The sequence below is a fragment of the Homo sapiens genome, chromosome 9 (genome assembly GCF_000001405.40).
Source record: "Homo sapiens chromosome 9, GRCh38.p14 Primary Assembly".
Taxonomy (NCBI): Eukaryota; Metazoa; Chordata; class Mammalia; order Primates; family Hominidae; genus Homo; species Homo sapiens.
This window is the reverse complement of record NC_000009.12, coordinates 98,493,542-98,505,765: the sequence shown is the minus strand read 5'-3', so window position 1 is coordinate 98,505,765 and position 12,224 is coordinate 98,493,542. Positions and strand designations below refer to the sequence as shown.

The following is a 12,224-nucleotide window of genomic DNA, read 5'->3' as shown; positions in this document are numbered from 1 at the left end:
AGGTGCTCCTTGCCGGCAGATGCATCACTCCACCCTCTGCCTCTGTCTTCACGTGGACTTCCCCTTCATGTCTCTGTGCCCCAAGTCTCCCTTTGCCTTTCTCTTATAAGAATCCTTAACATTGGATTTATCCAGGATGATCTCATCCCAAGATCCTTCAGTTAATTACGTCTGCAAAGACCCTTTTTCCAAATGAGGTCACATTCACAAGTTGTCAGGGTTAGAACTTAGACCTATCTTTTTTGGAGGTCACATTTCAAGCCACTGGCTCTGCACTGTGAACATGCATGGGTCACACACGCACATGCACACACACACACACACACACACACACACACACACCTGGATACAGCTGGATATATACCCACAGGCATTCCCCAAGTACAGCTATTCCCCTTGTGCAGCAGATCTAATACATATTCAGTTACACACTTGCCCTTTACATTTTTTTCACTTACTTTCAAATCTGGTTACAGATGATTAAGAGCGAACTTATTTGTAGAAATCTAAAAAGTAGGTGGCTCCATTTCTCAGAAGGAATGCTCTCTTAATGAATGCACATCAGGTTGGACAGGCAGAAATACACCACATGGATAAGTTTTTAAGCATATGCCCCAATTCTTTGAAAGACCTCACTATCTATCAAAGCCACCTTCTCCGTCATTAGAAAGCTATGGGGTTTTTTGGCATTGGGCCAAAATCTAATTTCCTGAACCATCTTACCTGTTGGTGCTCCAGCACCACGGGGGTGCGCAGAACCTGGTGCCCCCCCTCTACATGACAGCTCTCCTGTGTTTGAAGTCGGCTTTGGTCTACACCTCTCCAGGCTAATTTTTTAATTAGCTTAAATTAATGGCAGTTCCTGGGGAGCTCCAGCCCCAGTAAAAGTGGCCTGAATTATTCAAAGATTTGAGTGTTTCAAATGCCTGTTTATCCTAATTAGCATCTTAGCTACAGCGGTGCCCTCTGCCTCTAAGGAGCCACATTTTAACATGTTCCATATTTTAATGGATTTTCCTTGAATGAACTGTTTAATCAAGTGAAGACACATTTCATGAATGAATAGAAGTAAATCTATAATTATACACTTTAGTCAGGTAAGAGGAGTGACATTTCGGCACAATTCATGGCTATATATAGCAAGTGCATTTGAATGACAAAGTAGGTTACCTCAGCTTCCATAGGAGAGCTGAGAATTCGCTTTGCTCTCAAGTTCATTTCGTAACCTAATTAGAATTTTCAAAGAGTTGTAAAGTGCATGTGGTGCAGCCCTGGTTCTCCCCATCTTTACCTGGATCTGTGCCTTTCTGGATGGTTCCTCTGCTGGTGCAGTAGCCTCATTAGGGAAGTTGTCTGGGGAACTACTGGCCATAGAAGCTGAGTGCCTTGAGATCTCTGGAGCTCTCTGCAGCCTCCAGCCACTGGCTGTGAATTTCACTTGCCCATGGGAGCCTTCTCTGTGTGGGACACGTGGTCTGAATGCAGTAGCAAGTTGCTATAACAATATTCTGCTTCTCTCTTCTCCCTTTCTTGCTTTCTGTCTCATGTCTTCCTGCCTCCTTTCCTTCTCTCCATTTTCTCCTCTGCCATAGTCAGGTTCTGCTCGGGGTGCTAAGGGCCAGGAGTAGAAGGGCCTGAGGATTAAAGATGAGATGTACCTACTAGAGGGGGCAGGAGAGAGCAGGGGAGCAATCCTGGTGCCCTGGGTCTGGAGGAGATGGGGACAGGGGGCTCGGGGGTTTTCAGACAGGCTGGCAACCCAGCTGTAAGCTTGATGATTCTGTTGCTCTTACCCCAATCAGTAGCCACTTTAGCTACACATTGGAAACTCCTGGAAAGCTCTAAAAATACAGATGCCTGGGTCCTATCCCAGAGGTTCTGATTGGTTTAGGAGGCAGTTAGGGCATCAGCAGTTTCTAAAACTCCCCAGGTGATTCCAACATGTAGTCCCAAAGTCTTTAGGTGACGGCAGCCCCAGCCAGCATCCTAACCACAACCTCCTGAAAGACCCTGAGCCAGAAACCCCCAGTTAAGTTGCTCCCCATTCCTCACCATGGAAACTGTGGGGGACAGTGGATGTGTATTGGTTAAGCTGCTACGTTTTGGGATAATTTGTTGCACAGCAGTAGATGACTAATACAGATTATTAGTTGTCCTGAATGTACCCCCAAGCCGATCACTTCTTGCCACCTCCCATATCATATCATCTAGCCTCCAGAATCCCTCTCCCGGACCATTGCTGGAGCCCCTCCCTGCCCTTCCTCTTCCCCTCATGTCCCTGCCCCTCAGAGGTCCCACAGAAGCCTGAGCAACTGTCTCAAATCATAGTTCTAATAATGTCACTCCATCACTTAAAACTTCATCATGGGTTACCACTGTGCTTAGGGCCGAGACCTGATCCTTCACGTGAACTGGAAGGCCTGTGTGGGCTGCCCTCACCCACCTCTTTCTCAGTTCATTCCGACAGCCTCCCTCAAGCCCTGCTTTAGGCTCTGCATTAAGCCCGCTAGGACATTCTTTTAGTTTCTCCACCAGCTCCCTCCCGTCACAGGAAGTACACATGCTGCTCCTCGGCCTGGAATCCTTTTCCCTGCCCCACCTCCTGGCCTGGGGCTGACTTCTCTGCTACAGCCTCTCCCAGGAGCCTGCCCCTGAACTTGAGCGTCCTTGTCTCAGTGAACATTTACACATTCCCTGGGACAGTCAGCTGATGAATGCCTCTTGCCCTCACTAGACAGAGATCCAGGACAGTGAACATTTTTGGTCTTTAGAGGCCCAGTCCTACCTCAGACGGTTCCTGAAACAGAAGAGATGTCAATATCAGAAATGAATGAGTGGGTGAATAAGTGAGTGAATGAAGTAGTGGGACTGGTAGGGACAAACAGAGCCCATTCTGGAAAATCCAAAGTGGTGAGTGGCTGCTCGGAAAGGTACTCAAGTTCAGAAGCCAGGCAGTGACTGGGCATGAGAGAATTTCAGTCCCAGGAATGAAGCAAGAGCTCAGATTGAGAGCCTGAGGTCAGAGAAGGTCCCTTTCCAGGCTGACTGGGGGCTGCACCCCAGGGCTCCTGACCTCAGGCCCCTCACCTTGCATCCATGGAGGGCAGGAGTGTCCAGTGCCAAGCGGGGGGATTCATAGGAGCCAGGGGTTCACTGGCCCTACCTGTGGGTAGCAGGGAGTTGCAGGGGTTAGGAGCCTGGCAGGGCATGCAGATACAGTCTTGGGGCCCTAAAGCAGAGACAGTGTGGGTGGAGAGAACAGGCTGGCCCACACACTGAAGCGGTGGGTCATGCAGTGATTTGATAAACCCAAGGCTGGGTGATTCTAGAGAGAGGGCAGTACCCGGCGTCCTCTGGCAGCTGTTCTGTGTTTAATGGAGAGGTGCAGGCTTCAGAGCAGGGAGGAGGCCTTGCAGTGGAGTGGCACTGTGGCCTTCTCAGAAGTGGGGACCAGCCTCCCTGATGGGACAGTGCAGACCCACATTAGGCTTAAACAGGTCACATGGACTCAATTAAATGCTGAGTGAGAAGATTCTTCCGAGTCATCCGTTTACCTGCACTCCCTTCCCAATTCCATTTGCTTTCCACCTTTTTCTCTGATCTCCTTTTCCTCCTCCAACCCCTCCCCTTCTCCCCCTATGTCTTGCAGGCATGGATAAAGACTGCACTCCCATGTCTAGTGTGTGGACGGAGGTTGTGTGCTCAGTCAGTTGCAGGAACGAAGCCATTGTGATGGCTTTATTGGAGTGACAAGTCCCTGTCACTCTCTTCACCACAGCACCGTGAACCAGCTGGGAGGGAGGTTGTGGGCAGACGCGCTCGTCTCTGCTGTTCAGACAGCTGATCTGACCTGGCGGCATTTTCTCCTGCTCAGCATGAGTGAGGCTGTCCCCACTGCTGGCTTTCCCTCAAAGCCATGGATTTCTCCTGGCTCTTAGCTTTATGAAAAATGTGGGACTTCCTAGAACTTGAAGTCTGAGTTGAAATATTAACATTCTTGCATTTGGCTGTTTGCTTCCCAAAGCTGCGTGGGAGCCTGAGGAGTCATTGGTCTCACCCTTTGTGACCTTTACACTCTCCATCAGCCCGTGCCTGTGGTCTCCCTAAAGGGTTCTTGGTCCCTGTCCTAGATTATCAATCATTTACTTAAAACTGTCCTCTGAGTGTGAACCACTTTGCTGCTACCCTGATAAAGGCAAGCAGAACTGAGCCCAGTGCTCAAGGTGTGGTCTGAGATGGACGACAGAGAGGGATTGTCCCTTCCTTCATTCTAGATGTGATATGTTTTAAAAATAGTTCCTGGCCACGTGCAGTGGCTCACGCCTATAATTGCAGCACTTTGGGAGGCCAAAGCGGGTGGATCACTTGAGGTCAAGAGTTTGAAACCAGCCTGGCCAACATGGCGAAACCCCGTCTCTACTAAAAATACAAAAATTAGCTGGGTGTGGTGGCGGGCACCTGTAATCTCAGCTATTTGGGAGGCTGAGGCAGGAGAATCGCTTGAAGCTGAGAGGCGGAGATTGCAGTGAGCCCAGATCATGCTGCTGCATTCCAGCCTGGGTGAAAGAGTGAGACTTTGTCTCAAAAAAAAATTAATTAATTAAAAAAAAAAGGAGCAGGGGGCGGGGAAGGGGGGGGGGCAGTGGTTCCTAGTCTTAATCACCCTTTGTTAATTGCCTTGCTCAGTTAATACATTCTGGTCTCCTAACCGAGGGGAAAATATCCAAGCCATTAAAATTTTTTTCTCACAATTATCAATCATTTACTTAAAACTTATCCTGCTTTGTTTAGAATGTGGTTCTCTAAACATGTATCAGAATTACCTGGAGAGCTTGTTGAAACACAGGGTGCTGGACCCCACCCTGGAGTGTCTGATTCAGTAGTTCTGGGTAGAGCTGGAGAGTTTGCATTTTTAGCAAGTTCTCAGATGGTGCTGGTGTTACTGGTGCAGGGGCCACTGTTTGAGAACCACTGCTTCAGGGACATGCTTTCTGGCACGAACTCACATGGATGGGCCACACCAGTTCTTGTAGCGGGGGTGGGGAGGAGGTGTCAAGTCAACAACTATTGCCTCCAAGCCTCTTATCGCAGATTATTTATTCCAGGGGCTCTGACCCATCCATTCTCTCCATGCCGAATGTCTTCGGCTCCTTGTGGATTTGTTCCTTGGCCAGGTCCTGGATCCGCTGCTCCAGAAACAGGGAGAGTTTTCCCCTTTGGGTAGCCCCAGAGGCCCTGGCCTTTAGGGAGCCCAGTCCTTCCTTACCTCCTTTCCAGCAGCCGTTGGTGCCTGCTCACAGCACTCCTCACTCCCTGTCAATCTGTGTCTCCTGCCCTCCTGGGGCTCCCTTCCAGGTGAGGGGCAGCCTTCTAACCTCCCCTGCCCATCATTACCCATCTCTCCCCATCCCTCCCAGGATGCCCAGAGCTTTCAGCAAATCAGACTCCTGGTGGCTGCCTCACTTGGCCCAATATGCAGATTAGGCCCCCAGGGGCACCCCCTGCCATTCTTTGTGTGTATGTGAGTGTGTTGTGTGTGTGAGTGTATTTTATTGGGAATTAAGAGTTATTCCTTTCCCAGAAGAATGTACTTCTATTTTTATAAAGGAGATTAATAGAAAAAAGGAAATCATTTTGCAGAAATGTAGTTAATGGCAAGATATTGGCTCCAGTTTTTTTTGTTTTCGTCTGTTTGTTGTTGCTGTTGTTGTTTGAGACAGAGTCTTGCTCTGTTGCCCAGGCTGGAATGCAGTGGTGCGATCTTGGCTCACTGCAACCTCTGCCTCCGGGGTTCAAGTGATTCTCCTGCCTCAGCCTCCCAAGTAGCTGGGATTACAGGCACGTGCCACTAATGCCTGGCTAATTTTTATACTTTTAGTAGAGACGGGGTTTCACCATGTTGGCCAGGCTGGTTTTGAACTCCTGACCTCAGGTGATCCACCCGCCTTGGCCTCCCAAAGTGCTGGGATTACAGGCGTGAGCCACCGCACCTGGCCTGGCTCTGTTTTAAACAAGAGATAACTGCAGTTCCAGAAGGAAACCTAGGCATTTATAAATTTTCTTAGTAAATCTTCCATCAGTGCACTAAAGGGTCTTTCTACCCACTTAAGGAGCATGTAAATTGTTTTCCCTTGTGAGGAAGATCTATTACATTATTTCTTTTCCATGCTTTTGTCACTTTAAAATGCCATTTATAATATTACTGACTGCCTCCATTTGCTTTCCCCAGAAAGTCCATTAGGATAAATACTTGAGGTGAGCATAGACTCCTTGGTGCTGAGATTATGGGCGGTGAGTGGCTGACCTCACTGACCATCTGTTCTGGCCTGTTCTGGTTCATCGGGCCTCCGAAACTGTCCACATCTGGCAGAATCCAGAAGAGCCAGCCAGGACTGGGAATCACACTTCAGTTTCCTCATCTGTGAAATGAGGGGAGGGATGAGATGACCTCTAGGGTGTGTTTTGTCTATTCGTTTTGAGTTCTGACCACCTATAAAACATTTTATTCTGCCATGTTTATATATAGCTTTCATACACACATTAATACACACATGTGGATACCAAAGCTACTGCAGCCTTGATGCCTTGCCATTTGCCTGGGAATGATCACTCCAACTTCTAAGTGGTGTGTAGAACTTTAGAGTTTACAAAGCCATTCCACATATTCAGTGTTTTTGCTGAGCCTTGAGTCAACCCCATGAGCTACTTGCTGTATTGCCCCCATCTTATAGGTGTAAAAACTGAGACTTGAGAGTTTGGGTAGTTTCTTGGAATGTGGGTGCCATGCAAGTGGAGAGCCAAGGCTAGACTGTGCGTTTCCAGGAGCTCACGCATTGAGCTCCTCCCAGGAGGGCCACATGTGCATGTTTTCCCTGTTTAATAATGACTGTTGTTCCACAACACCTCGTGCTGCTCAAAACTCATCATGGGGCCCACCTGTATCCAGAAGGATTTGAGACAGCAGAAATAAACTCTAATGGAAAAGTTAACTTTTTCCCCCCATTGACTAGTTACCAATCTTCCATCAAATTGAGGTAAAAACGAAGGATGGACAAGGTTCACGCTGACTGTGACAGCATCTTTCTTTTTACAAAACATTGATCACAAGGCATTTCAAGCATTCAGAATAAAATAAACACCCAAGGACTTGCTAGCCAGAATGATTACATGTTCACATTTGCTCCATTTGCTTCATATTTCTGTCAAAGAAATAAAAGATGGCAGCTCCCATCACAGTCTGTTTTGTCTCCCTTCCTTGGTGTTGACCATCCTGTGACATTTAAGGCCAGATTATCCAAAATGCTCTGATGTATACATTACAAGGATCCACCAAGTGTTGAAATAAGAAGTTCTTTTTTATTGTGATACAATATACATAGCAGAATATTTATCATTTTAGCCATTTATAAGGGTACAGTTCAGTAGCAGTATGTTCACATGTTTGTGCAACTATCACTACTGCATCTGCAGAACTTTTTTTTTCATTCCACACTGAAACTCTGTGCCCATTAAACAATCACTCCCCACCCCCTCCTTCCCTCAGCTGCTGGTAACCACCATTCTACTCTCTGTCTCTATAAATGTGACTAACCTGAGTATCTCATATGAATAGAGTCATACAATATTTGTCCTTTTGTGTCTGCCTTATTTCATGTAGCATGATGTCTTCAAGGCTCATCCATGTTGTAGCATGTGTCAGAATTTTATTCCTTTTGAAGGCTGAATAGTATTTCACTGTCTGTATACACCACAATTCATTTATCCATTCATCGAGCAGTGAACGTTTGGGCTGCTTCTGCCTTTTAGCTGCAGTGAACAAATGTTCTTATGAACATGGGTGTAAAATGTCTGTCAAGTCCCTGCTTCCAATTCTTTTGGGTACGTGCCCAGAAGTGGAATTGCTGGATCATGTGGTAATTTTATATTTATTTTTTTGAGGGGCTGCTATACTGTTTTCCACAGCAGTGGCAGCATTTTACATTTCCACCAGCAACACACAAGGGTTCCAGTTTCTCCACATCTTCACCAACACTTGTGGTTTTGCTTTTTGGTAATAGCCATGCTAATGGGTGTGAACAAGAAGTGCTTTAAGCATCTCCTAAAGCGGAAGAAACTGAGGCCCAGAGAAGGGAAGAATCACACGAGAGATTGAGGTCACAAGCAAGTCAGTGATAGAGCAGGACCTGGAAGCTGGATCCCCTAACCCCAGCCTAGTTCTTGCTACTAAAACCCAAAATCCAGTTTCCATTGCTATATGTCAGAGGGTGCACAGCCATGGCCACAGGCCAGATACAGACTTTAAGTTTATTTGGTTTGATCCTTACTTTCTTTTTTTTTTAATTCAAAATAGTATCAACATTTAAAAATTAGGGGATTTTATATTTTAAAAGTCTAAATTTCTGATTTCTCCCCTCAAAAATCAGAAGGTCTGGTAACCCTTGACCCACATTCTAACTCAGCAACCAACTATTACTGTCTTTTGTTTTGTTTTGTTCTGTTGAGACAAGGTCTTGTTCTGTCACCCAGGCTGGAGTACGGTGGCGTGATCACGGCTCACTGCAGTCTTGAACTCCTGGGCTCAAGCAAGCCCCCCGTCTTGGCCTCCCAAAGCTCTGGGATTACAGGTGTGAGCCCACGCCCAGCCCTATCATTCTGTAATATCCTTCCACACAGGCTAGTTCACACACTGGCTGGTCCTGGTAACACTGGAGTTTGCAGCCCTTTGCTTTTCACATCCATAGATATTCCTCATTCTGAGTGTCAGTAGACACATAGTTACGTGTAACATCATAGGCAGGTTCCATACTTCTTTCCTCTTTCCTTTACTCTATATTGTCTTTGAATATCTTAGCTATTTCCTCACCATAAAAGTGAAATAATGTTGCAAATAAATAGTGCAAAATATTAACAAAGACACAATTGAATAGCCTGATTTGGAGACAGTGTGATGTGGTGGAGAAACACCAGCAAAGGTGCTAATCTTGACTCTTGCAGGAACTCCCTGGGCAATCTTGGAAAGTCCCTTCCCTGTCTGGCCTCCTTGTATCCATGTGTCAGTTGCAGGGTGGGACTGGGGGATCCTCAAGTTTTTGTGGGGCGGTCTAGTTAATAATGTAAAACAAAACCACTCACTTTGCATTGTCGGTAGAGAAAATCGCTTTGCCCAATTGACTTCCCCAGGGTGACCCCTCGGAACTGGCCCTTCCTGTGGTCCCCAGCACACCCACCCTCTGCTTTCTCTTTGCTGACAGGTGCGGAATGACCTGACTGGAGTTCTGTATGGCGAGGACATTGAGATTTCAGACACCGAGAGCTTCTCCAACGATCCCTGTACCAGTGTCAAAAAGCTGAAGGTAGGTGTGGCTAGCCACAGGGTGAATGGCAGACTGATCTCAATGCCCTGGGTGCCCAAATTACCTGACTATGAAAGAGCCTCAAGTTTGGTCTGGGTCTCAAGTTCATTTCCACCTTGGCATCCCAGACAGGAGAAGCTCCCAGGAATTGGCTTCCCTTGGCTTTCCCTTCCTTGCTCTCCAACACTGGCCAGAGGTGCTGGCTGCAGGTGCACAGCCACTGAGCACTTTCCTGATGGTTTTATATCTCTCAACGCAGCCTCAGGGGCAAGCAGGGCACACATGATTGTCATGTCTGTTTTGAAGAGTCACAGAGAGAGGAACTGTCTTTCAGAAAGCCCACAGCAAAGAAGTCTTCTTGTTGCAACTGAAAGCCCAGGCTCCTGACCCCTATCCGGTGACACTCTCTTTAGGAACAGAAAGGGTCAACGAGAAGTTTCCCCAGTTGTAAGTCAGTCTCTAATTTTCATTTGTCCATTCCTTCTGCATACTCTCTCAAACAGCTTTTACGCACCAGACCCTCTCTTGGGCTCATAGACATCATCGGCCTTGACCTTGTCCTCAGGTTACTCCCAGCATGGTGAAGAAGACAGAGACCTCTCAGGGGAAACAGGAACAAAGGGGCCTGGGAACAAAGGGAGGAAGTGACTCATCCCACCTGGGGAGAGTGCTCAGACAAGGTTCCAAAAAGAGACAACATTTGGTGGAGGAGGAAGAGAGGGATCCCCTCCTACAGGAGCCCAGCACGGTAGGAGGGAAGATCAGAGGGTAGGGTAGCCATGCTCATCATGGCTTAGAATCAGCAGGAATTCCACAGAGGCAGAAGTACCTGGAGTGGGGTAGAAGGGAGGCTGAAACAGAAGTCAGTTCCCAGGAGCCTTGAATGCCAAGCTTAGAAGTTTGATATGTTATCCTGGGGACTTCCTGGAGGTTTGTAAGCAGGTGCCAGTGTCATCAGAGCTATCAAATTCCTCTTTCCCTCTCCTCCATTCCTTCAGGCCCTCACTTAAAGTCATTAGCATGGAGACCCCAGATGCCAACTGCAGATATGTCCCTTCTGTCTTGTGTGGGTCCCAGGTTACACCAGTCAGAGCAGGTAGCAGCTTAGAGCAGTTGCCTTCTAAATCCTCCAGTTCACAGATGGGGAGCCCAAAGCCCAGAGAAGGGGAGCAAGGGAAGCAACATATCAGTTGTCTACCACCTCCTCCAGAGCAGATACAGAGCCTGCGGGTCACATTTCAGCCTTGGGAGCCTCTGCAGATGAGGACACAGTAGTCAGGGAAGGGCCTGCTTGACAGCCCAGGTGGCTGGAGCCAGGTCTCCCCCCTGCAGTGTCACAGGCTGTGTTGGGCCTGGAGGATTCAGGGGTGGGGTGGCTGCTCTGCAGGAAGCATCTGGGGCAGGGTTGGGAGAGGAGGGGAGGGCCTGCAGCTGCGCTGACATTCTCCTGCCACATGCAGAGGCATCTCCCCATGGTGGGCACTTGAAATAGCTCCCTGAGCTCCAGAGGCCCAGCATCTATGGACTTTAATGTTTAAAGAACCTTTGTGTGCAGAGCAGAGCAACTGGAGATGGAACTGGACTCTCTACCCATCAACCAGCCAACTCCAACAGAAGTAGCAACGACATTAACCATAATGAAAATAACAGCCGAAATAGCCACCTTTCCAGTGCATTGACCACAGGCCAGGCCCTGTGCAGAGCCCTTCACCTTTATTTGCTCAATTCGTCCTCCCCAAAGCCCTCAGATGGAGGGAATTTTTGTATCCCTGTTTCACAGATGTGGACTCGAGACTCAAAGAGGTTAGCAACTACCCCAAGACACCCAGCTGAAAAATGGTGGGTTGGGATTCAAACCCAGGTCTGGGCAATGTCATGGCCCAGCTTTCTCCACTGCTCTGCACGTACTTCTGAGAAAGGATTTCAGTATCACATAAGCCAGGAGAGCAGCACTAATGACAGAGTACTCATCTGTTGGCAAAGGCTCCCCTCACCCAGACACCTGCACAGCTCCTTCTTGTACCTCTTGCAGTCTTTGTCCAGTCATCCCCTTCTCCCCGAGGCTTTCCCTGAACACTTTATTTAAAAATTGAAATCCCTGTTCCTCCAACTCCCACTTGTCCCTTTCTGCTAATTTTCTCCTCCATTTCACTGATTGATATCTATTTTCATTTCCTGGGACTGCTGCGACAAAGTATCACAAACTAGGTGGTTTATAACAACAGAATGTACTCTCTCGAAGGCTTAGGGCTCTTCCTTGCCTTTCTCTTGGCTGCTGGCGTCACCAGTAATCCTTGGCAGTTTGTGGCTCACCACTGCATCACACCAATCTCTGCCACACATGGCATGTCCTCTCTTCTCTTTATATTGTCTTTTTAGGACACTGATCATGTTAGATAAGAGCCTCCCCTATTCTAGTATGACCTTGACCTAACTAGTTACCTCTAACAATATCTGGACTTCTATTCATTTTACCTGGTGTTTTATCATCTGTCTCCTCCCATTAGAATGTAAGCTCCAGGAAGCAGAAATTTCTGTCTGTCTTGGTCACTCTTCTGTTTCCCATCACCTAAAACCCAACGTAATTTGCTCAACAATTTGTTGAGTGTGTGTGAATGAAATACCAAGTCTGGACAAAGTGCAACAGAGGCTACAAGGACATAATACTCAGGAACAACGGGAAGGTAGTTACTTTTGGAAATCTCAGAGGAAAAGCAAGTTTCTGATTTATTGTGGGATAAGATGGAGAAGGAGGTACAGAGGACAGACAAGAAAACCAGATATCAAATAGTAGAACTGGAGTCTGCATTGGAGGTAGTAGAGAGCAGAATTAAAGCCGAGAAATATAAAAATCAGTAAGGTGGAGGGCAA

At 47.5% G+C, this 12,224-nt stretch overlaps 1 protein-coding gene across 3 annotated transcripts in view, besides 1 other annotated feature; it reads left to right on the top strand.

The window, feature by feature from the left end:
- GABBR2 (gamma-aminobutyric acid type B receptor subunit 2) overlaps positions 1 to 12,224 on the top strand; it is a 420,827-nt gene that overhangs the window by 203,170 nt on the left and 205,433 nt on the right. For all 3 annotated transcript variants that reach the window (NM_005458.8, XM_017015331.3, XM_005252316.6), the window contains one exon: positions 9,252 to 9,353. In NM_005458.8, coding sequence (NP_005449.5) covers positions 9,252 to 9,353 — 102 coding nt within the window. The remainder of the gene's footprint in view (positions 1 to 9,251; positions 9,354 to 12,224) is intronic.
- Positions 9,227 to 10,426: an enhancer, noted in NCBI's record as "CDK7 strongly-dependent group 2 enhancer chr9:101257622-101258821 (GRCh37/hg19 assembly coordinates)". NCBI's record gives its function as "activates an origin of replication core promoter dependent on BRD2, BRD4, P300/CBP, MED14 and CDK7 cofactors, with strong dependence on CDK7, by STARR-seq in HCT116 cells {active_cell/tissue: HCT116}" and the evidence as "EXISTENCE:reporter gene assay evidence [ECO:0000049][PMID:35650434]".